The 25,998-nt window shown below is 42.5% G+C and overlaps 1 protein-coding gene across 12 annotated transcripts in view; it reads left to right on the top strand.

Moving 5' to 3' along the window:
* Window positions 1-25,998, top strand: part of GFRA1 (GDNF family receptor alpha 1) — a 217,781-nt gene that overhangs the window by 14,260 nt on the left and 177,523 nt on the right. Inside the window, exon 1 of one of the 12 annotated variants that reach the window (NM_001348099.3) lies at window positions 4,651-4,812. The exons of the other annotated variants lie outside the window; for them this stretch is intronic. Coding sequence (NP_001335028.1) covers window positions 4,743-4,812 — 70 coding nt within the window. The 5' untranslated portion in view covers window positions 4,651-4,742. Of the gene's footprint in view, window positions 1-4,650; window positions 4,813-25,998 lie in introns of those variants that run through there. 12 annotated transcript variants of the gene reach the window in all.

Raw genomic sequence — 25,998 nt, 5'->3', positions numbered from 1 at the left:
CTAAATACAAGCTCTCAAAAACATCTTTATAAACACGTATACAGACACATAGGCATACATACACTTGTATATCTGCCTGCTCACATGTGCATATTTTTATAGAGTGTGTTAAGTGTGGATATGATAAAATATTTTGCCTCAAAAAGATCTTCCTTGACACGTGTTTCAGTTGGTCCTGGCTGTGACAAAGGCAGCTGTGTGTGCGAGTGTGACACAGCTGAGGAAAGGCAAGAGAACAAGCAATTTCTTCGAAAATCAATTGCAATTTACTCCTACTAAATTAGCCAAGGGTCCGCCCCATCCACGCATTAGCATATGACAGACTTTTAATCATTTGGTCAAGTGACCTATTTTTGGTCAAACTGCAGTTCCCTTTGGAACTCTGCCTATCCCAGAACTGTGTATTCTCCTCATTGAATCCTCAGTCTCTTTAAAGGGGAGGTGAGTGAGCAAAGAGGAGTCCCGCTGGGGAAGCCCCTACCTTGTGTCCCCTTCCCCTGCCGTGTGTCCTGCACTAAGCTGCCTTTTCACAGACTTACGTTCTTCTGGTCCCCCACCATGCTAAAAGGTATGTATTGTGCCCTCTCATTTCTGAGGAGAAAAGCTGGGATCAGAGAGGTTGAGTAACTTTCTTAAGGCCACACAGCTGATACCTGGAAGAGCTTAGATTCACTTCTTGTTCCTGTGACTCCAAAACCTGTGTTCTTTCTACTGTTAGTGATGAAATTTTAAGCACAGACCAGGATCCTTTATTTAGAAGGAGCTATCTACTCCCTTTTCTCCCTCTTTAATTCCCAGCTTTCTCCTTGTTCTTCCACCCTAAAACACTGTTTGACAAAAGGCCTTTAAAGTTGCAATATACACCACTACCTATTATTTTAATATTTGGGCCTGCCGTCTGATGGGTTCTTAATTGACAACCAAAATCCAGAACACGCGTACTATTAAAACCATTCCTGCAGAACTGCAGAAATATTAACCAAAGAAGCAATTTCTGGATTGTATCTTTTTTCATTTCAGTGTGAGATGGAAGGCTTCTAAAGTGGAGCAGAATGCCTAGGGCCATTTTTTGTCATGTTGTCGTATAAATAGCATTACACAATGTTAAAAAAAAAAAAAAAGGAATACATAGTTGAGTCCCACTTTAAGGTGCCCTAATGTGCTATTCATTTGTCTTCCACCATGCTGGTGCCACTTTCCTCTAGGTCCCTGTGAACTGTGTAGGAAGCACCATGCCAACTGTGATTTCTGTTGTCCTTTGCACATGATCGTTTTGTGTACAGTTAATAATGTATGAAAATAAGTATTGATTGCATTCTTTGTAGGAGAAGGCCAGCAGTTTTCTTAAAGCGCATGTTTATGAAATGTTTCATTAATTTCTGTTACTACGCGTTTTGAATAAAACAATTGATGAGGAAGATACCAGGAGATCCCTGAATTCCAGAGAGTTCTCAATGAAACCACTATATATATTCTTCTTAGCTTGGGAATGGCAAGTGGCATTTGAATGGCAAAAGAAGTGATCAGGCTGAACATACTCCCAATTCGAAATGGTTGCATTCCCCATGATACTTAAAGAGAAGTAAAAATAATAATTACAGCAGCTGTGAGTTGCAGCGAGCTAGGTGTTTTATATGTCATAACTTGCTTAAGCCTTGTTCAGTAGAGGTACTCTTAGCCCCATTTGGTTGGTGGATAAGGGAACTGGGGCTCAAGTGAGAAACTTGTCTTGGGGGCACATACTTAATAAGTGGTAGAGCCAGCATTCTCATCCAGGAAGGCTGGCTTCAGAACTCATGCAGTAGCACCCATTTGCATGTATGTAACATGCATGGGAGAAATAGCCCATGAAAATATCCCATGAAAGTGAAGTGCACGAACTGCATAAAGGATTATTAGATATTTTTTACTGAGTGATACATATGTGGATATATGATGCATATAATATATATATTACATTATATATGTTACGTATATATTACATATATACATTATATATTATATATTTTATTAATTTTATATTTATTTTATTAATATAATATATTTTATTTTATTAATTAATATATTAGATATTATTTTATTATTATATATTATATATGTTACATTTATACTTATTTTAGAATGAAGAGAAGAAGAGGTAAGTTTTTAGAGTCTCTATCAGTTTTCAGTTTTTCAGTATGATAGAATTCCATTTCTGCCAAATTCATTCATCAGATATTTATTAAGAACTTACTATGAGCACAGTGGGAGGCCCAGATGATTCAGAGGTAAATAGGAATTGTCCTCTAAGAATTCCCTTTTTTGCTTTAGAGATAGATATAAACAAGATAAATTATGATGAATGAGTAGAACCCATAGAAAGCTCACATACGGCCCTATGGTGGGAATAACGGACTGGATGGTGTTGCCGGTCAGAGAAGGCTTGCAAAAGGGGACTTTTAAGCTGGCTTTTGTGGAATGGATAGGAGTTTGGTGAGTAGAGCTGAATGGGGAGAGCATTCCAGGCAGAGGCAACAGCCTGGGCAAAGGCACAGTGTGTCCAGGGTTTGCCGTGGCTGGAGCAGCAGGTATGAGGAGTGGTGTGAGAAGAACTGAGCAGAGAGGCAGGTTTGTCACACTCAGGGGCTTGACCTTTGTCATCGAAGATGGGAAAGGAAGATGGCTAATTTGTCTCAGCATTGCTGAAATTTTTAGATTGAATCGCATGAAATTGCCATTTTAGTAGGTCAACATGGTAGAATAGCAACAATTTCAGACAGTTCAACTTAATATAGTTTTGTGTCATAAAAGCACACACAGGGGCTCTGGATGCTTCTCGACCAGAGAAGGACATAAGACCTGCTGTGGGTGAGTAACCTCTCATCATAGAAGGCACCTTCTGGGAAAACAAAAAATGAGCCCAGGAGCACTGTGCTATTAGCCTCAGCTCCAGGTGGAAATGGAGCAAGAGCAAGTGTGGGTCAAGTTCAAGCTCCTCCCTTCCAGTTGCACCTTCTTGAGGAGAAAGCATGCACAAGCTCGGAAGGCAAAGGCCAAGTGCACAGAGCCCAGCATTTAGGTGCCGAGGGCAGGGAGGATAGAGGGGCAGGAGTCTCTGTGGCAGGCTGGCTGCATCTCCCTGGGTGGTCCTGGGAAGGTGTGGTGGGGGCGGGGTGGGGGGTACAGGTAAGCAGAAAGACAGCAGAGCAGACAGGGACCAGCAGGAATCAACCCAGGAAGCTGGGTCATCCTGAAGGGCCTCGGCTGCTAGGAGGCATTTTGGCTTGTGGTAGGAGAAAGGTGGTCTCTGACAACGGTTCATTGGGACCCTGTGGATGCTGAGTGGCATGGCTGGTGTTAGGAGGCCTCCCCTGGTGGACAGTGGGGATGTGCACAGCATGGGTCCCTGAGAGGATGGCTCCCATCTGCTTTTCTGCAGGGTCCCAGCCCCAACCCCAGCACTGCCTTTTGTCCTGGGCTCAGGGTGGACTTCTGCTCTCTCGCTTGGGAGCAGTGGCTCAGGTGTGGGTGCCTGGCTCCCTAGGCAGTGTTGTCCTCCTGCCTGGGAGGGATGGTGCTGTCCAGCCTTTCTCAGACCTCTGGAACCGTGCTGGGTAGCACCCATTTGGAGGACTTGAGGTATGGGCTTATTTATTCGTTTATTTTGTATTTACTGTTTTCTTCCTCTGACTCCCCAGTCTTCTGCCTTGCCTAGCTGTTTTCTGTGCCAAATTCTCAACTCGATTCAGAACATTTCGTAAGAGAATGTCTCAATGAAAACTCAAGTGTTCTAAATGAAGGGAGTTGTGTTAATTGAAAGCAGTGCCCACTCACCCCAGGGAGCACCTGCTTGAGGGGAGAGGATGGGGAGGAAGGGAGGGAGGGCTGGGAGTGCCTATGCAGCTCACAGAGCTGGCTCCTAAGAAGCTACTGAGCCCTCTCTGTGTGTCCTACCCTGCACCCATGCTATGTTATGACATTGTTTTTATGACATCAATGGGGCTGGGGTGGGAAGAGGTGGTGCTGCCCTTTTTAGCTGCTGGTGATCCCTGGGAGGAAGGGCAACATGTTCCCAGGGCAGGACCTACCGGGTGGACCCTCTGTATTCATCCCAGAGATAGGGCTGGCAACGGGGAGGGGCAGGGGATGAGGTCATGGTGATCCCAAAAAATATATGTGCTGCAGAGTAGCACGGTGGCAAGGAGCAAAAACCTTGGAGTTGAGCACACTTGGGTTTGAATTCCATGTTCCAGCACTTAGTAGCTGTGAGACCACAGGTAAATAGTTACTTGCAACGTTCTAGGTCCTGTATGTGTAAATGGGGCTAATAATAGTATCCAGTTCATAAGGTTGCTACAAGTAACACTTACGGAATGTTTCATTTGTTTTTCCGCCCTCCTGAGCTGTGCAGGAAACCGGTGGGTAGGTGGATGACTGCCAGCGCCTTCCTTTCCTATGCATTCTCACTCCCTTTCTCCTCCTCCCTCAATATATTAGCATGAAACAGGAATAGTAGATGATTTGAGTGCACGCAGATGTCTTCTGCTCTGAAAAGAAAAACAATAGCCATACCCGAAATTCCAATTACCAGTCAGTCCAAAACACTGATTTTCTACTCTACACTTAAGCAGTAACTCAGGTTTTTTGCGAACTGACTGTGTGCCAGGGAATGTGCTAGCTGCTGGGGAGATGGTGGTGGGCCAGAAAGTGCAGAGTGCAATGCCATGTAAAGAAGGGGAGAAGGAGAGAGGAAGAGAACTAGGATGCAGGAAGGAAAGTTCTGGAAGGGGATGGCAGAGACCGGAATGTGGGGATGTGGGGAGTGGATTCCAGGTGAGCTAACACATCAGTGGAAAAGGAAAGGGCGTGTACCCAGCCAGCAGAGAAAATTAATACTGAATATGCTAGTCCTGTGTTGAGTGGATGTGAACATGGTGGAAACCTAGTGTTTTTTTTTTTGTTTTTTTTTTTCCTGATGATTCTCAAGAATGTTTAAAAAAATGCAATGTTTGCAAACAAAGTAGAAACAGTTGAAGCATTGTTTTCTATTAGCAGTATAAGGTTCACTGGCTATGGGTATTTTTTCCTTCTTGCTTTCCAAATTGTAATTTTAAAAGATGAGGCATTTCATATTCAAGAGTTTCCTTTGTCTGAAATAAATTATTCATTTCTACTCAGTTTCAGAAACAATGAACATATACTTAATGCATCACAATTAAGCGGGTGCAGCTTCACATAAAATTATGTTCCATGCATTTTGGTGGCAAACAGAGCAGCATATCCTATATCTTGTCGACATTTGTTCCTCATAAGCAAAATATAAAGAAGTCGAAGCCCAGAAATGTGTTTTCTTTCCTCTCATGGTGGAGGGGGGTAACTTTAGACCCAGGCAGCCTTGTTTTTGACATTCCACAGCTGTTGGTGGCTTTGTCAGTCTGTAGAGAAAGTGAACTTACTGCAACTGCCTTGTGCGTGGGGTCAGGTGAGGGTCAGAATTCTTGAGCACCACACATTTATCTCAGTCTTCTTTGTCTGGGTTTGAGATCTGTCTAGAATCCTTTTGTGGAAGGGCATTGCCTGGAAACGACTTCCTTTGGGGTTTGGTGGCAGCTGTTTTTTTGAATACTAGCTGGTTGGTCATGTGGCGGTTTTCTGAGGATCTGGCCCTGAGATATTCTTCCTGTGACAAGGTTTCTCTTTAGGAAAATAGGCATTGCCAGCAAGGATCAAGATGTCCGTGGACGTCCACTTTAGTCTTGAAGATTTAGCTATACTGGTTCCCAGGAGCATTTTTTGGGATGCCTCTGACTTAAGTCCCAGCCCTGAGGTCAGAGTGAAAGCTGGCTCTGGTTGCCAAAGGGCAGTTGTCAAAGGACATTAATTGTGAAATGTCTGCTGGCCTCCCATCAGTAGGGCAGGAGATGCTTTCTTTCTTTTTTTCTTCTTCTTTTTTTTTTTAATAGAGTCAGGGTCTCACTCTGCTGCTTAGGATGGTCTCGAACTTCTGTTTCAAGCAATCCTCCTGCCTTGGCCTCTCAAAGTGTTGGGATTATAGGCATAAGCCACCATGTCTAACCAGGAGATGCTTTCATAGGCTATTTCTTTTTTCTTTTCTTTTCTTTCTTTCTTTCTTTTTTTTTTTTTTTTGACAGAGGCTCTCTTTGTTGCTCAGGCTGGAATGCAGTGGCACGATCTTGGCTCACTGCAGCCTCTGCCTCCCAGGTTCACGAAATTATCCTGCCTCAGCCTCCTGAGTAGCTGGGATTACAGGCACCTGCCACCACACCTAGCTAATTTTTTTTATTTTTAGTAGAGACGGGGTTTCACCATTTTGGCCAGGCTGGTCTCAAACTCCTGACCTCAGGTGATCTGCCTGCCTCGGCCTCCCAAAGTACTGGGATTACAGGCATGAGCTATTGCACCCGGTCTCATAGGCTATTTCATTTAATCTTCATAAAAGCCTGAGTGTTAGCCTTGAGTATGCGTGAGGGGCATTATTCACATTTTGCATAAGAGGAAACCAAAACTCATAGAAGTCCAGTGACCTGCCTAAGGCCACATAGCTAGTTGGTGGCAAATCCTGAATTCAAGCCAAGTTTGTCCAGCTGCAAAGGCCTAGCCCTTTGCATGCTACCCCGGCTTATTGCCTTTTTGATTGTCAAGAACAAAAGTAGCTAGATGCAAGATGGATCCTCAGCTACCTCTGGCCTAAGCACCCTTTGTATTTGAACAGAAAAAAAATTACATGCTTTTTATTTTAGAGAGGCTTAGGAAGAAGGCCCTGGACTTGGCCAGAAGTTTTCCTGGATGCCTCCCTGTCCTTGACCCTGGTTTCTTTCTTATTTTTTTTTTCTCTTGTGAGAGAGAGTCTCACTCTCTCACCCAGGCTGCAGTGCAGTGGTGCGATCTTGGCTCACTGCAACCTCAGCCTCCCAGGTTCACACGATTCTCCTGCCTCAGCCTCCCCAGTAGCTGGGACTACAGGCATGCACCCCAACACCTGGCTAATTTTTTTATCTTTAGTAGAGATGGGATTTCACCATGTTGGTCAGGCTGGTTTTGAACTCCTGACTTCAAATGATTCACCCATCTTGGCTTCCTAAAGTGCTGGGTTTACAGGCATGAGCCACCGCAACTGGTCTTGACCCTGGTTTCTGTCCGGTGCCTGCCCTGGCTGACTGGACTCACTGCAGAGCCCTCCAGGTATCCTGGCGCTCTGTGCTTCCACTTAGGTGTCCATGACCTCCAGTTCTGCAGTTTCTGTGGCATCTCTTGCTGTGGTATTTCCTATGTGGCAAAGGCCCCTGGGGAATTGGTGGATGAACTCTGATTTTTGCGAAGCCCTCCTTTAGAATAGGTCCATCCAGCTGCGTGCTGGGTAGTCCCATCTAGATATCCTGGCCATAACTCAAACATAGTCTGTATTGAACTTGCCTTCTCTTTTAATCTTGTGGACTGAGGAAGAGGCACATTAGAACCTTAGGGAGATGTTTTTATATTGGCCGGGGGGTGCAGTGCTATAGCAGAAAGGATGTAGATTTGGAGTCAGACTAAGTTTGCATCCTGACTTCATCCTTTCATAACTTAGGCAGGTTGTTTAATACCTTTAAGCCTCAGTTTCCTGATTTGTCAAATGTAGACAGTATCTGCTGTGCCGTGTCATTGTAAGGACTGGATCTTTGTTATGAGACAGCATGTTGAAGCCTATCCCCCAGTCACAGTGATAGAAGTTCTTAGTTAAAGACGAGAATCTGTTTACTGGCCTCGAGACATTGCACTGCACCTGGGAAGGGCAGGTAGTCCGTGTGCTGGTCCTTCCAGCTTTCCAGGGCGGAAGTGGTGAGGGTGCGCGTTTCTGACTTCGTGGCTGCTCTCTGGAGACTGCTCAGTATCTTTGCACATGCCACCCTGAGATGCATGACCATTGATAGCCTGGTTTGCCTGTAAGACAAAGCAGCCCCACCATGCAGTAGGCGCCAGCTGTATACCTCACTTGGTATCACCTGCAGCCTTGCCAGCTGAGGCAGATGCACCTGAGTGTGAGGGCGGCAATTGACCTGTTCCTCCATGTGCCCTGTTCCTACCACCTGAAGGGTAACTTCATTAAGTTCCTACCTGTTCCTACCACGTGAAGGGTAGCTTCATTAAGAGAAAGTGCAGTCGAGGTAGATAGAAACAGCCTCTCAGAAATGGCTCTCATGCGGATTCGGCTTGCTGCTCGTATTGTGGGCGAGCCTTGGAGACTGAGGGAAGGTGAGTACTTGTGAGTTCCTAGGCAGAGTGAGTACCCTGCGTTGAATGTAGAATTTTCCTATTAAGAGCAGAACAAAACAGGTTTTTAGATTAGCACTCTGACGTGGGCTGGAAATGCCCGGCAAATATTTACCCTAGATGTAAAACACTCACAAAGTCAAATGTTGTTTGGAAAACCCTAAAATAGAAAATTTTTACTCAGGGTTTTATATTTGGTAATTGTAAAAAAAAAAAAAAAAAAAAAAAAAAAGAGGCCTATTGTTGTCTGTGTCCTCTAAGCTGGCTTTTACAACATGGAATGACGACAAAGCCTCTTTTGCCCTCCCTCCTGCCCATTTCTGCTCCTCTGCCCTTACTCAGCCTCATGACTGCATTCCCAGCCCCTTTTCAGACGTGTACCTCCTCCACCCATCCAGGTGACTGTGGCGTGTTTTGCTTGGTAAGCCCTGACTCTGGGCCTGGCACCATTTCACCTGCTTTTCCTCTTGAAACTGAGCCTGGGATGCTGGAATTGACAGATTTGCCTCCCCAGCAGCTCCCAGGAGTAAAGGAACTCTACTGGCTGAAGTGTTTAAACTCCTGGAAGGCTGGCATTGGACTTGAGATATTCTTTGTATGCATCAGACACCTGAGTTAGAGTCTCTGAATGTCCCATTATACGTTTTTTGCTAGACCCTTCTGTTCCTCTCTGGTAAAGCAGAGTGTTTGGACCATACCAGTGGTTCTAACCTGGCAACCTCACACATTTTGTGCATCAGTGTCTCGTGGGGGAGGTGTATGATATTCTGATACATCCACCCCCACTCTTACGCCAGATGTGCTGTCTTGGGTGAAAACTGCTGTGCTATGGTGGATGATCTCCCCAGGAACTTTCTGGCTCTGACCTGCCATGTGCTCTTCGGAGCTTTGTCAAGATTCTTTGGATGACTTCTTCCTTCGGTCCATCAACAAATGTCTACTGAGCCAACTTTCGTGGACTGGACATTGTGCTAGGGTCCTAGGGACATTGGCATGGACAGGATGAACTCACGAAACTTATAGTCTAGTACAGGAGGCATATGAATTAAAATGCACGTGTTTTGATAGCAGTCAGTACTCTGAAGAAGAAAACTGACCAATATGATACAGAAGGGAACAGAGGGGAGAAGGGGACCCTTTTACACGTGGAAATCAGAATGTGCCTCTCTGAGGAGGTGACTTTGAGCTGGGACCTAAATGACAAGGGGGAACTGGCCATTCTGAGCACCTGCTGAAGAGCATTGTGGCAGAACTCCAAGGACCCCAGGCGGGCCAAGCCTGGTGCATTCCCCAGAAACAGTGGAGCTAGTAAGGTGGGAGCCTGGTCCCTTTTTACCAGTGATTATCTCCTTCCGCTGCCCTGTGCAGGGGGCTAGCAATGGGACCAGGCCACCACCAGGGCTCAGGAGGGAGCTATGGCCAGGGGTCCTGAGGACACCAGGAAGCTTCAAATCCATGGCACCTGCTTTTTGGGTGGTGGGACTCATGAACTGTACCCAGAAAAGTATCTGGCTGCGTTTCACTATCCTAGAATTCTGAGACATGAGCAAAACAGCCGTCTGGACCAGAGACTTTGTGCTCGAGTGTGACTTGGAGGGGCCAGCTTTGCCCTGTTGCACTTCAGATGTACGCTTTGAAAATGTAATCCTTAAATGATAGCACTCCTCTAGTGCTAGGCTCATGTTTTGTATTGATTTATCTCATTCTTTTAAAAAAGGAAGATAATTATAGAATCCTGATGTTGAAAGAGTCTTTTGTGATCACCAAGTTCATCATCAAGTCCTTACTTGATGGATGGATAACAGAATTAAAGACCAGAATGGTTGAGGCCTGTGTTAGGAGACAAAATGGGGCTAGAGTGGGGACTTAGCGCCCTGGGTCCTCTCTCCTTAGTTGACATACGTAGTGTCCACGTAGGACAGGCCCAAAGAATGGCGATGCCCCAGGAGATGAAGGTTCAACCCCTGAATACATCTGTACTATTGTCAGAGAAATTCTTAAAGAATCAAGTCCTTGCCCACTTTTCTGGCCTCATCAAGCCCCATTTCCCATGATGGGTCATAGATCTAAAGACACTCTGCCTTTCTCCTCCCTAGCACACACATCTCTCTTGTTCTGCCTCAAAGCCTTTGCCCTTGCCTTCCCCCCGTCATCTGGAATGTCCTCTATGATCTTAACTTAGCTGGCTCCTCTTTGTCATTTTCAACCAGAGGTCTTCCATAAAAAGGAGACCACTTCGCTAAATATCACTCCCTCCTCGTTCATTCTTTATTACATTTCCTGTTTCGTTATCTGCACAGACCCTACCACTATCCTCAGCTATTTTGTAGATTTACTTGTGTTGTGTGTCTGTTTCTGTAATGTTAGGTTGTGTACAAGCAAGGACCCCATCTGGCTTGTTCAATTTTCTGCACTTGGGTAGTTTTCCCAAGAAAACTATGTAGTAGGTGCTGAGTAGATATTTGTTGAATGAATGAATGAGTGAACAAATGCATAGTAAGTGAGAGCTAGGTAGGTAGAAGATGCTTACTAAATAGCTATTTGGTGCCCAGCACTTAGTTGAAGCAGGGCAGAGGTGTACAGGTCATGACATGAGGGAGCCTACGGTCTTGCCAGCGAGGTACATCTGTCAGGAGTCTTTCTTTCATGAAGGACAGAAAACTCATCTCAAGCAGACTTGGATGATAAAGAAAATTTGTCAGCACTTAGGACGTATCAGAAGGCCAGAAGTAGGACAGGATTCTGGCAAATTGCTGTTACCAGGACCATGCCTCCTGGACCTCCAGTTCTTGGATGTGCTCTTTGTGTTGGGGGCGACATCTGCAGTGACAACAGGGTGGGACCTCCCAACAGCGCCACACTCGTCTCTTGTGTTCAGTAATGGACCCAAGCAATTGCAGGCCTCACAGCCTCATGTACACCATCCTGGACTGAGTACTTGGCTGTAGAATGGTGACCAAAGTCAGATTGGCCCCTCCCCCATGGAGCTTATAGTCTAGCAGAGGTCAGAGACACAAATACATAGAAAATCCAAGTGTAAAAAGTGATCCCAAAGAGAAGCAGATGATGCTCTGAGCACCGGTGATGAGGCTTAGGGTGGGAAGAATGTTCCAGCAAAGGAAAGGCCAAGGTTGTGTGGGGCAAAGGGGCGGGCCAGAGTGGTCAGTGTGAGATGAGACCGGACATGTCATCTTTAGCTGGTTAGGAACTGGGGGAAGGAGTGGGGCCATGTGGCAGCCCTGGAGCTGGCCTGCAGACTCAGCCTGGATGCCTAAATCTTGGAATTCACCGTGGCAGGAATTGCAGGGTGTGCATGGTTTTCTCAGCCCACTGTCGTCATTGTCACATTTGAGAAGGACCAGCTACACCCATCTGGGGAAAAGAGGCCCTTGGAGCATTAGTGCTGGTATGCTAGAGATTTAATTCGCTGCTTTTCAAACAGACCCCATGCTCTTAGGCCAGCCCTTTAACCGCCCCCACCAGCCTCAGTTTTCTCAACTGTGAACTGGGGTTATGGACTTGTTGCAGGCCTACAGGAGTTGACACATAACAAAGTGCTTTGCAAACTCCACAGTTCTAAAGCAAGTCACTTTCGGTTGTTTTGATTTTCCTTCAACTGTGGGAAGAGAATGAATTCAAGATAATTAGAAACAATGAGCCCTAGCACTTTGGAACTGGAAGAAGCCTGAGGGACCTTCTAGTGAAAGTGCAGAAGGTGAGTTGTGACTCGTTGTGGGGCCTGTTGGAGATTTGAAGTTGTCTGGAGATCAGCTGCTTCTCCTCCCTGAGCATCCCCTTCATGCCCTGTAAGGCTCCAGAAAAAGGAACAGCGCTCCCTTTCCCGCCTGATTGCATTGAGCCTGGCATGGTGGAGGTGCAGCTCAGGTCTAGTGGGTGCAGGCCTCTATAAGACTTGGCCCAGCCTCATAGCAAGTGGCAGGCAAAGCCCCATGAACCTGTGATCTCCAGCTCTGAGGCTGCTCCCTTGCTCTTACCTTTTGCCCTTGCCACACCCAGGCCACATTCTGCAAGAAGTTCGGGGCCACAGATCTGGTCGGATTCAGCCTGTGGAGCACACAGTCGGCTCCCCAGTTGGCAGGGAATTTTGGTCTCATGTCAAATACCCAGAAAGTCAAGAGGACAGCAAACCCCTGTGTACCCACCACCCAGAATGAACCAATGTAACCATTTGCCTTTTAAAACCATATCATTTTAAAACAGAAACTATTACAGGGAAAGCTGAAGTCTCCTTAAAGTATCATGGCATAAGTGATTCATTCTACAAGTATTTTCAGAGTGCCTTCTGTGGGCTGAGTATATTGGAGATATGATGGGGAACCAGCCATTAAAAGCCTTCACCCTCAAGGAGGCTGCATTCTATCTAGAGGAGGGCAGATGATACATGAATATATAATGAAGGTAAATAGGAGGAGGGTAGGGGGCAGAGAGTGATAGGAGTGGGTACTATTTTAGATAGAGGAAGTCTTCTCTGCTGAGACATTTGACACAGTGAAATGAAGTTCCCAAGCTTGTGAAGTCTCAGAAAGAGGCTTTGAGATGGAGGGACCAGTCAGTGCCCAGCCTCAGAGGTGGGAAGAGGCTGGTGAGTCCAAGGAGCAAGCTGAGCAGTGGAAATGCACCCCAGTAAGTCAGGGCTGGGAGAGCCAGCCAGGGGCCCCAGCACATGGCCACAGGGCCTTAGAGACCACGGGATAAGGACTCTGGGGTTTGTTCCAAAACTAATGAGAAGCTCTTTGAAGGACTGGGGGTTTTGAAGAAGACAATGTCATGATCTCACTTATGTTTTAGAAGAATCTCTTAACTGTAAATAGGCAAGAGGAGAAATAGCAAAAGAAGTTTGTTGTAACATCAGCTCCAGAACTGATAGGGGCTTACACTTGGGTTAGTGATGAGAAGCAGTTAGATTCAAGGGACCCACAGGTCATACTGATGAATTGAGGACATGGAGTGAGAGAAGGAGAGAAACCAGGGATGGCTTCTAGGAATTTTGATGTTGTCATTTACCTGGGTAAATGACAGTGCCATTTTCTGAGATGGGGCAGGGGTCGGGGACAAGAACTATTTTTGCATACAGGGGTGTAGACTTAGAGTTCCATTTTGGACACATTGAAATACTTTTTGTAAATCTGAACATCTTTGCCTCGGCAGAGCTGTTGTTCATGCTATCCTCATTTTATCTTTTACCATGTACACTTCCACGAACAATATTCCACTCTTGATGGGCATTCTTTGTTTTTGAAATTACAAATAATACTGCTGTTTTTATTCTGGTTTCTCTGTGCATATCGAGGAAATTGATAATTAGAAATAGGACTACTGGGTTATGAGGCATGCACATTTTATATTTTTTTGGTAACAGCTTTATTGAGATATAATTCACATACCATATAAGGGGATATGCATTTTCACCTTGTTTTGAAATCCTTCAAAATTCACTTTTGCTATTAAGTAGTCATCCTTTAATTTACTAATTGCTATTTTGCTTTTAATTTACTATTTTAATAACCTGTTTCTTTGCTTATGCCTCCGTGTTGAGTGTCCTTTTTGCTGACGCATATCTTTTAATAGTCCGTTCAGTGTCTAGGGACAGTAATCACTGTCTTTTTTCTTTTCCTTTTCGTTTTTTGCTAATTACTAGCCTATGTTGTATAGAACAGTTTTAAATCAACAGAAAAATTGAGCAGGTAGTACTCAGTGTTCTCATATACTGTCTGACCCAACAGTTTCTCCATTTATTTATTTAGAGACGGAGTCTTGCTCTTGTTGCCCAGGCTGGAGTGCAATGGCGCAACCTCGTCTCACTGCAACCTCTGCCTCCCGGGTTCAAGCGATTCTCCTGCTTCAGTCTCCTGAGTACCTGGGATTACAGGTGCCCACCACCATGCCTGGCTAGTTTTTTGTATTTTTAGTAGAGACAGGATTTCACTGTGTTGGCCAGGCTGGTCTCGAACTCCTGACCTCAGGTGATGGGCCTCCCAAAGTGCTGGGATTACAGGCATGAACCAACATGCCCAGTTCCTCCTATTATTAACATGTCTCTTTAGTGTGGTGCATTTGTTACAATTAATGAGTCATTGATGCATTATCATTAACCAAAGTTCATAGTTTACAGTAGTGTTCCCTCTTTATGTTAAACAGTTCTATGAGTTTTGACAAATGTACAGTGCCATGTATCCACCATTACAGTATCACACAGAAGAGTGTCACTGCCCTAAAACCTCCTGGGCTTCCCCTGTTTATCCCTCCTCTTCTCCTAAGCCTCTGGCAGCCACTGGTCTTTTTACTGTCTTCATAGTTTTCTTTTTCCAGAATGTGATATGGTTGGAATCATAGAACCCTACAGACTGGTTTCTTTCATCTAATAATATGCACTTAAGGTTTCTCTGTCTTTTTGTGGCTTGATAGTTCACTTTTTTCAACTGCTGAATAATTGTGTTCCATTGTATGGATGGACCACACTTTGTTTACCAATTCACTTACTGAAGGATGTCTTCTTTCCAGTTTTGGCTGTTGTCCGTTTTATTATGAATAAAGCTATAAACATTTGTGTTTCGTTTTTTGTGTGGACCTAACTTTTCAACTCAGTTGGGTAAGTACCTAAGAGTGTGATTGCTGGATCATATTTAAAGTCTATGTTTAGGTTTGTAAAAACTGTCCAAACTGTCTTGCAAAGCGGCTGTACCATTTTGCATTCCCACTAGCCTTGAGGGAAAGTCCCTGGTGCTCTGTGCCCTCATCAGCATTTGGTGGTGTCAGGCTTTTGGATTTTAGCCATTCTAATAGGTGTGTAGGGGTATCTCATGGTTGTTTTTATTTTACTTTGTAAGTCCCTCATGGCATATGGTGTGAAACATCTTTTCATATGCTTATTTGCCATCTGTGTATCTTCTTTGGTGAGATGTCTGTTCAGATCTCTTACTCATTTTAAAAATTGAGTCGTTTTCTTAATGTCACATTTTAAGAGTTCTTTGTATATTTTGGATACAAACTCATTTTCAGATATGTATTTCACTGGGTCTTTTCAGTTTGAAAATGTCTCCATTTGGTCTTCATTCTTGAATAATTATTTACTTGGGTGTAATATTCTAGTTTGGCAATTATTTTCTTTTAGCATTTTTACAATATTATTCAACTGCCAGCTGGCATCTGTAGTTGCTGATAGAGTCTAGAATGTCTAACTATTGTTTCTTTAAGCTCTCTTTTTAGCTTTCTTTCTCATACTTTAGGGTTTCCCTGTTGGCTTATGTTTACTGATTTCACTGGTATTTAGGTGTGATTTTTAAAAACATTCCTCAGTTTTGGCATTAGGTATGATTTTATTTTTCCTATGTGAATACGTGTATTTTTGTTTACTTCTGGAAAATTTTGCAATTACCCTCTTCTAATACTTCTCTATTCTTTTACTTCTCTTCCTTTTGAACTTCTATCAGACAAAGCTTCTTCCTCTTTATTCTATTTCCCTCAACTTTGGAATCCTATTTTCAATTTCCTTATTTCTCTGACATACATTTGGGGTCAGGTGTTCAGGTCTGTCCTCCTAGTCACTAATCCTCTCTCCTTCTATGTTTTGTTGAACCCATATATTGAATTTTTAAAATTTTAACGCCTGTATATTTTAGTTTTAGAATTCCTATATATTTTTATAGGAACTTTATATATTTTTATATATAGGATTATATATTAAATTGTTATTAAAATTTATTATATATTAAAATTAAATTAAATTAAATTTTAATTATTAACATTAAATGAAATAAAATTAAATTTTAATTATTAACATTAAATGAAATAAAATTAAATTTTAATTATTAAAGTTAAATGAAATAAAATTAAATTTTAATTATTAAAATTATATATTATATATTATAATTTTTCTTCTTTTTGATGAGATAAGTTTCTATAGTTTCTATTCCTTTATCTCACTGAAAATATTTACTATAAGGCAGTTTTTCAGATTGATCTGTAATAAATCTGTAATAGATCAATAGATCCGTAATAGATCAATCTGAAAGATTCTCCCATATCTTGTTCATGTAGGCTCTTTCATGACTGTTTTTTTCTTGTGTGTTTTATTATTTCAACAATAGGTTCATCTTTAGTAACAGTGATTTTCTCTAGTATTCCTACATAGGGTCTTTAAGGCAACCTTATGCAGTCATCTATATTTTCTTTGCTGGGCCTTTCATGGATGCTGGGCCATTTTTAAGTTAATTCCTCACTCCATGGAGGAATATCTTTGGGACCCCACTCTTACAAGCTTCATGTTTCTTTTTGTTTCTTGTCCCCAGGCCAGTGAGCAGAGATACTCTGAGCCTGTTTTCAAGATATGTGTCTTCTGGGCTGCTGGTTTTATGCAGGGAGCTCTGTGAGAGTTTCCTTGACCAGGGCCTGTGGCCATAGTGGCTACTCTCTCAAGGCCTTGTCACAGTGGTTCTCAGGACAGGCTGTACACTGGAATCAAATGGAAGCTCCAGTGCCCTGATACCTGGACCCCACTCCCAGATATATATTTTTTAAAGCTCCTAGGTGATTTTAAATGTGCAGCCCAGGTTGAAAATTATTGCCTTATAGACACGTGCCCAGTTTCCCTGTGTTTTTTTTTTCTTAAAAAAAAAACCAAACCCTTTTTGTTATATCACATTTACTATTCTCTCTTTTTTCTTTTCTTTTTCTCTTTTTTGGGGGGCAGGGTTGGGGGAAGATTGTCTATATACCTGTATCATTTCCGGTTACCATACTGACCAGAAGAAATGAGAAGTACCAAATTCTAACCAGCATGCTTAGATAAAAGGATTCAAATGGAAGGTTTCTACATGCCTTCTTGGGTTATTGAATACTTCCTGTGATTTTTAATTTCTCTGTAAAAGATAACTCTTTTTTTGGCATCCTCCCTCCCCACTTCATTTCTTTCAGCATGGGTGCTTATCAAATATCTTTAATTAAAATGAATTTATAGTTTGGGGCTGCATTGGAGTTAGTGGCATTCTCTGCTTCTCCTTTGTGATACAAATATTTGAATATATTCTATAGCTGGAGAATATATTCAAAAATAAGTTAAATTTGAGACGCATAAATGTAGTAAGATTTTAAATGCAATATAAGAAATGACGTAAATATTTTCCTTGGTGCGGATAAAGTAGATCATTCAAAAGTGAAGCTGAAAACAAGTGATATTTGGAAGGGAGGTAGTTTTTCTAGCTGATTTGAGAAAACAGATGGATATATTAATTTACTTGACTGTTGTAGGAATTTCACTATGTTTATGCATATCAAAACATCATGTTGTACACCTTAAATATAAAAAAGAAAGAAAACATATTTGATGGAAATGTGGTTTCTGAAGCCAAAAGGGGCCAATTTGGGTAAGGACTCTGTTATTAAAAATTCTGTTTTTGGCCAGGTGCAGTCCTTATGCCTGTAATCCTGGCACTTTGGGAGGCTGAGGCAGGCGGATCACCTGAGGTCAGGAGTTCAAGACCAGCCTGGCCAACATAGTGAAACCCCATCTCTACTAAAAGTACAAAAATTAACTAGGCGTGGAGGCGGGCGCCTGTAGTCTCAGCTACTTGGGAGGCTGAGGCAGAAGAATTGCTTGAACCCGGGAGTCAGAGGTTGCAGTGAGCCAAGACCGCACCACTGCACTCCAGCCTGGGCGACACATCACGATTCTGTCTCAAAAAAAAAAAAAATGTTTTTATGGATACCTTCTCTTCTCAAAATCAAAATAGGAGTTTTAAGGAAATGATTTAGTGTATATTGTTTAGCTTTTTGGGAACAAATTATCGTTACCTGCTTATGTGACTTTTTATAGAATGTTGCGTTTAAAAAGAAGTATCTCTGCTTATGGTCACATTTTCAAAACAGGCTTCCAAAACTTTAAACTTGAAGCCAGTCTCTGCTGAGTTACATCTGCACATAATTGTAACCAGAGACACTTGTCTCCCTAAATATGCGCATCTGCAAATAATTGTGCTTTCAATTGCCAACGCACAGGGTTTCAGACTGTGTCTAAACAAGAATAGAGAGATGAAGCAGTTATCTGAGTAATTCCAGCCGAAAAATAAGAATGCCCCCATATTATATCTTAAATTTTCTGGGTATTTCAGTTGAGGGGATGTTTTGATTAAAATCATCTGGGTAACTGCCTGAGTTTTCTACTTCATTTTGCATGTGTAAACACAGCTGTTTTATGATTGACAACTTTTTTTTTAATAGCTGCCTTTTGGAAATGACCATTTTTTCAAGACCACAACTCTTGCTTAGGGTTTGGCAGCTCACTTTCAGGATCCTTGGCTACTATGTGCTGCCTTCCAGTAAGAATGGCTGGGTAGCAAGTTGATTCTCCTATTCTTAGTGTTGAAACTTCCTTCTGCATTTAGTGATATTTCTAGCTAGCCTGCAGAACAAATACATCAGTAGTCCAGCCATTGCAGCCCAATCCTGTACATAACAACAAAAGCGTCAGTCTCCACCTGTGTCTGAAAATCACAAGTAGCATGGCAAATGCTTCCATGTTTAGAAAAATATCCAATTTGACCATCCTATCAGTTCCAGATGAACCTCTGTTTCCTGCCAAAGTGGAACTTCAGCCAGTGCATTTTATTTCCATTCCCAAACTCATCTGCATCATGTGGCAATATGTATTAATGCTCATCGAGCTACCACTTGGATCAGGTGAGGATGCTCATGTTGGGAAGGAAGACATTGCAGAGACAGTCAGCTCAGAGGCTTCTGAGACCACGCATTTTTATGTCAGGATGAACGAAGCAGCACACGAACTGTGAAGTTGTGTGGTTGAGATTTGTTTTGACAGATTCGGTTCTCCAAAGCCTCTCTGTTTTCTCGGCTTCTTCCAGGAAATTTGAAATGCTTGCAAGATAGTTGGACGAAAGTATGGGGACCATGAACCTCTTGGTGACAGGTTCTTGGACATGTGTGAATTGGTTTTCTCCCCATGTTGTTGGTTTTAAAAGTTCTTTAAGTTCTGGCAAAACACACTATCACTATTACTGGCTTGCAAAAACACACGTTTTAGAAATCTAATGTATTACGAAATTCTAAATTATCCACTATGTGAAAATACATGAATCTTAACTAAGGGCTTGTTTTTGAGGATTGAGATTCATCTATTATGCACTTTAGTACATTGGTTGAGAGCTTAAGGTCTGGAGCAGATGATTTGGTTTCAGATGTCAACTCTGCAAGTCTTAGCTGGGTAACCTCGCAAGCCTCAGTTTCATTCTCTGTAAAATGGGATGATCATAACTACAGCTACCTGTTAGGATTGTTTTGAAGATTAAAATTCTTAGTATCATCCCTCACAAAGAGTGTGCACCCTGTGTGTTAGCTGCTATTCATTCGTTTATTCCTTTCAGTCTGCAGATGTTTGTCGAGACAGCCCACTCTATGCCAAGCACTGTGTGGAATGCCAGGTGGCTAAGATGCGTACGGTTTAGTTTCCCTCCTTCATCAGGCAGTTGAGGGGCGGGTGAATGGGTTAGAGAGTTAACTGTGATGCCATGTTGGAGGGCAGATCATGCCGCAGTTCTTAAGACATAATCCTTTCTAGTCATTTCCCACATATTTAAGGGCCTTCGTTTCACTCCGCCCAAGTAAAAAGTTCAAAATGATTCATTTTCTCTTTAGATGCTTTGTTTTTTGAGAAATGGTAGGACTCACACCCTTCAAAAGAAATCCATCTCTAGAAAATACTTCTTTGCGAATGTGATTTTGTTACAGCTTATGAGAAAGAAACTAGTCAGTGGGTGCCAAGTATTTGGTCTTAATTTTCACTGCATAGGGAGATGGGTGGAGCGCCAGCTGAGCTACAGGAAGGGTGAAGCTAGGATGAAGTTCAGCCATGGAGCACGGCGTTGAGAGGTCTTCTCTTCCAGCAAGAACTCAAGCCGTGGAGTAGTTGGGTCACCATAATGGGAGTAGGAGGCTGGTGCCTTAGGTCAGCCTGTGGAACAACAGTGGGGGCTTTGTCCTGAGGATTTAAGATTATACCAGCTGCTACCTAAAGCTCAACAGTCACTTGAATTTTCTTGGTGGCTTGATGAACCAGATATGAAATTTGAAAATGCAATGATTTCCGTTTTTTTAATAATACATCATAGAGAAATCGACGAACACCTGCTTGTAGATATCCTTTCTCCCTCTGTGAATTGCTGTGATTTCCTGGATCCAGTTAAGTTCTGAGGGACACGTTGTAACCTTTCAGTCTGATGAACCTCCACTGGTGTAACAAGGAGCTATGTTAACAGGGCGCTATTGTGAACATGTTCAAAATTGCTTTGATAGTTTTGCTCAAATTTAACTCTCAAAAATTTTGGTAAATCCTAGGAGACTCAGTTATCAGCTTAAGGTTTTTGTTGTTAAATTTTTTAAAAACCCAAGTATAAATTATCTTTTGATGAAGATCAGCAGCCTCCTTTTGTTGAAGATGATACGTGTCTATCACAAGATAAATAATAATTTTAATTATTACTGTGGCATGGGAAACTACTTTTTAAAAAGAATTCCATTCTAAATGTATGACAGACAAAATTAGTGTTTAGGAAGTACTGAAAGGAATTCATTGTTAAGTTACGTTCTTATCTTCCATTTTATCTGGCTTTCTTTATTTAATTGAATGTTATTATTTTGGACCTCATAATATTTGCTGTGGGTAGAATAACAATAACTCATTAGATTCACTGCCTCTGCGTGAGATCAATAACAAAATTTCCATTATTTATTTTCCCAAAAGACCTTTAGACACTGTACTTCCAGCATGGTATAAAGGAAAGGGATTTTATAATGATTTACTTTAAAAAGATTTTTACTTCTGATATATATCCGGCAAAGCCCCGCTTGAATTTCACTGTGATAATAATAATTATAAAACAAAAATGTCAAGGAATTGTTCCATCATGATCTGTATTTTGACTATATATGAGAAATACAAGTCATGCAATGCCTAACAGTGTTTAGACACCAGCTTTGAACAGAATTTATCAATGTGTTAGGAAGAACCAAAAATATAAACATTTTAAATGAAAACTCACAAATGAAGATGAGATTTTTGTTCGTTAATTGGCTAGCTGATGTCTTTTTCTCTGTCTCTGGTCACCTTGGGAAAAATGCATGTTCCTATTTGCTTCCAATATAGCTGGACATGGCTGATGATACTCTTGCTTTGAGATTCCTATTTCACGTATTTCAGTGTGAACCCAGTCGAGGGAACTGAAAAATAAACATACAAGCTTTAAAATTTTCTCACTTTAGGGAAATTGCAAATGCTATGCTAATCCTATAGCTAATAAGCCAGCTTTCAACGTGGGCAAAAATTACAGATTTTTTTTGGCATTGTAGCATTTAAAAAAAATGACCATTTGTTTTGCATGTCAATAGTTGAAAGTTAAACACGGAAGAAGAGATTTAAATATTCTCTCTTGGAGAAATCTGTAATATCCCATAGATTTTAGATTAAATGGATTAGATTGGAATAATTGCAGAGGACATTATTCCTTCATTGAGCGGATTACAACCAATTAAGTCGTAATTCTGAGGCCTTGTTAAATAAATATTGCTTATTATCCATCAAGACAGCAAAACATCAGAGGAAAGATGGGTGTGCATTTTCCGATCAGTCCCTTGTTCTCTAGAAATTCCATATATATGGAACATTCACAGACAATGTGGACAGGGAATGGTGTATATTGCATGTGTAAATATATGTGACGTGCACATTCTGAGTTGTTTTAAGTCTGGCCCTTCGGAAGGCAGGCCTTCCATGTCTCTTGAGGGTCTTGGAGGCTGAATGCAGATGGTAAAGTTTGCATTGTTCTTCTAACACTTAGAAGTCAGATGAAGTAAAACCTTTCTGATACCTTGCGAGGTCACTGGGAGGTTACCTGGCAGGCGGCGTTCCCCAGGGCCTGCCACATTGAAAGACACGGCTCTCCTGTTGTCAAACGCTGCACCTTCCCGGCAGCTGCGCACAAAAGAGCCTGTGAAGAAATCAGCTGGGTTTGCGTGCACTTAAAGTTGTATATAATTCCGGTGTTAAATTTATTGGAAGACTGAGCGTAATGTAAAACACAGAGTAAAAACGAGGCTCCGTGTGTCAGCTTTACGGCGCATTTGGAAGCAGTTGAGGGTTTTCAGAGTCTGCTTGGTCGAGGAAGAGCTGTGCTGCAAGCCCCCAAGAAAGGAGTGAAAGTTGGCTGTCTAATCAGCGCTGATGCTCAGCTTGGATGTGTCCCTGTGATGCCTGGAGGTGGAAGCACAGGTGTTGTTTGCCCCTAGGAACCCTTTTCCCCACTTCCTTGTGACCTTTTTGTGCAGAGCTTTGGTGCTTTTGGCCAGCAAAGGCAAAGCTTGCATACATTCTAGGATGTCCTTTATCCAGGGCTTAGTTGGGATTAAATAAGTATGGAGAATCAGTAGGACCCAGGTCTTTGCAGGATGACAAATGGCTGAAAACTTTGTTCTACTGCTTTGACAGGCACCATGGGGGGTGGGTGCCTATGGATGTAGCTATCTAGAGAAGAAGAACAGGAAGTATCGAAGAAAGAGAGCAGAGTCGTTCTTCTTGCTTTTTTTTTTTTTTTTTTGCCTTTAGTTTATTGGTTCATTAATCTATTCGAGTATGTACTCAGTGTCTGCTGCATAACAGGCATCATGCCAGGCAGTAAATATAGCAAATTGCTTAAGAGCTTTGGCTGGAATCTAACCCACTTCAGCCTCAATCCTTCCTCTGCCACATAGCAGCTGTGTGACTTTGCACAAGACACTTAACCTCTCTGAGCCTCATTTTTCTCATCTGTAAATTACAGTAACAGAAGAACTCATGTGTTCATCATCAAGAGGTGTGGTTAAATGTTTTATGGTTCAACCAGAGAGCTGAATGCTACACAGCTGTATAAAGGTATGAGATAGCTGTCTATGTAAAGACCTTCAAGATAAGTGAACATTTCAAAGTGCAGAGCAGTTTGTATAGCTTGCTACCTTTTGTAAATAAAAAAGACGCTTATGTATACACAAAGAAACTATGGATGGATTCATAAGACACTAATAATAATAGTAATTGTATGTGAAGGCAGTGTGGGAACCTGGCATATGTATAGTACATATATTACATGTAGTGCATATACATATATTACTTCTTATAAAATAATGATAGCACAGTTTTGCAAGTTTGTTGTGACTATTCAATGAGATAATGCACTTTAAGTTCTTATTTGAAGGCCTGGCTCAAAAATAAGCATGCGGGTTACATTTTTGCTATTATTGTTGTCCTGGTAGTATTGAAACAAAGTTGCATATAAGAAGTAACCTTTTCCTGTTTAGTGGAGAAGACAGATAATCACAGGATCTCACCAAGGCGGTTGCAGAGGAAGAGACAAAATGCTGGGGGAGCCCAGATGAGGTTGTACCCCAGCTTTTGGGGGGAAGACAGGAAATCTTTCTGTGAGGTGGTGAATTTCCATTCTCCTTCTTCAACTCCATTCTTGGTTAGATAAATATGTTCTTTAATCCTAACAGTTACCCCTTCCCTCATATGAGAGACACATGGTATATGTTTAATTTGTATATACATTAGGGGTTTATTCAATATTTTTCATCAGTTGCCTGCTTCTAATCTTTTTCTCTTTTTTCTGGGTCTGTTTTTTCTCAGATCGCCTGCTTCCTGGGAGGCAGGGACCATATTAATTTAGTTCTTATTCACAGTGTTTTGTTCTTTCTGGGTGATTTTTATAAATATAGAACTTTTCTGCTTTTGCATATGAGAAAGTCCTGGTAACCTTTTTGAGCATAGAGGGGAAATTTTCCACCTCAGGCACCTTTCTCTGCTGAAAGGGGGTTGTTGTTTCCAGTTCTGTGGTTCCTGGCAGAGGCAGTGTCTTCAGGGCCTATAGGAAGTGATTTGGGCAGAGCAAAGCTGGCGAGGCATGGAAGGGAGTGCAGGTCCCCCTTGGGCACCATGGGCTGGGGTTGTTATCCTCAGAGGGCACTAGGGGTTGTCCATGTTCAGGGCCAGTTGGTTATGTGCTTGTAGCAATCGCCAAAGCAAGGGTGAATTTTAGTCAGAACAGAGGTGGCACCTTTGTTGTTCTCCTCCTTGAATTCTTCTGTCATTGTGCTGAGGGTAGTGACAAGGCTCACAGAGATAGGCTGTGTCTTAGTCTGTGCAGGCTGCCATAACAAAGTACCATAAACTGGGTGGCTAAAACAATGGAAAATTATTTCTCATAGTTTTGGAGGCTGGAAGTCCAAGATCAGTGTGCCAGCAAGGCGAATTTCATTCTGAGGTCTTTCCTACAAGATGGCGGCCACCATCTTGCTGTGTGCTCACATGACCTCTTCTTCATGTGGACTCAGAAAATGAGAGATAAGTCAAGCTCTCTCTTATCCAATCTTGACGGCCACACCCTTATGACCCCATCTAACTCTAATTACTGCCGAAAGGCTCCACTTCCAAATACCATCACATTGGGGTTAGGGCTTCAACATATGACTTAAAAGGGGGAACACAGACCTCCAGTCTGTGACAGGAGGGATGGGGATTTGTCAGCTTTAGGGAGGGGCATTTGCTGGAGCTGAATTATGGTGGACCACCCCCCACAGTCTCAACCCAATGTGGGGCAGTCACAGGCAGAATCTTCCAGGGGTTGGGGGTGGGTGATGGTGGTGGGTGGTGATGATGGGTGATTTCTTGGTGCTTAGAGGGGCAGCAGTTTTGGTGCAGGACTTTAGCAAGGGATTTGGATATCCAATCAGATATTGTCAATACCGTTTTATTCATTGTTAGGCAAAGAGGGAATAGGCACCTCAAGATTCGTTTCCTGTGAAAGGAAACTCATAGGTCAGAAAACCAAACTTCAACAGCCTAAAAATACTCTAGCTAACCATAAGTTTTGGGCAAGCCACAGTGGCCATTTCAGCCACATGTGTCTTCCCTCTGTCTGGCCTTGGCAAACTAGCTTCAGGGATATCCTTGGGTTTTGTTGCTCGCTGAGAGAGGCACAGATATTCCTGACTCAGTTGATCTGGTGCCACATTAGTCCATTCTCACAGTGCTAATAAAAACATACCTGCGACTGGGTAATTTATAAAGGAAAGATTTAATTGACTCACAGTTCGGCATGGCTGGGGAGGCCTCAGGAAACTTACAATCATGACAGAAGGGGAAGCAAATACGTTCTTCTTCACATGGCAACAGCAAGGACAAGTGCTGAACAAAAGGGGAAAAAGCCTCTTATAAAACCATCAGATCTTATGAGAACTCACTCACTATCATGAGAATAGCATGAGGGAACCCCCCCACCCATGATTAAATTACCTCCCATCGGGTCCCTCCCATGAAATGTGGGGATTATGGGAACTACAATTCAAGATGAGATTTGGGTAGGGACACAGCCAAACCATATCAGGTGCTCACATATTGAGAGTGTCCCAGTTCTACTCCAGATTAGTGGCACAGGTCTATGTTCCACCCCAGAGCTCTGTCCAGTAGCCCTGAGTGGTACATTTTTTGTATATATGTAATGTAATTTACATTATAGAATGTTCGCATATACTAGAGAAACATTAAGAGGCCAAATGTGCTGCCCAAGGCCACGGAGTGATCCACCAGAGGGCCGTGACTAGGTTTACAGTCCCACGTCTGTGATGAGTTGGCTAAATTGGATCCAAATGAATGGACCTTCTTTGAGTGAGGTCTCTTTTGCTGTGTATCCT

This window comes from Homo sapiens, chromosome 10 (assembly GCF_000001405.40).
Source record: "Homo sapiens chromosome 10, GRCh38.p14 Primary Assembly".
In the NCBI taxonomy this organism is placed as follows: Eukaryota; Metazoa; Chordata; class Mammalia; order Primates; family Hominidae; genus Homo; species Homo sapiens.
The sequence above is the reverse complement of the archived record's forward strand: the minus strand, read 5'-3'. Positions and strand labels throughout refer to the sequence as shown.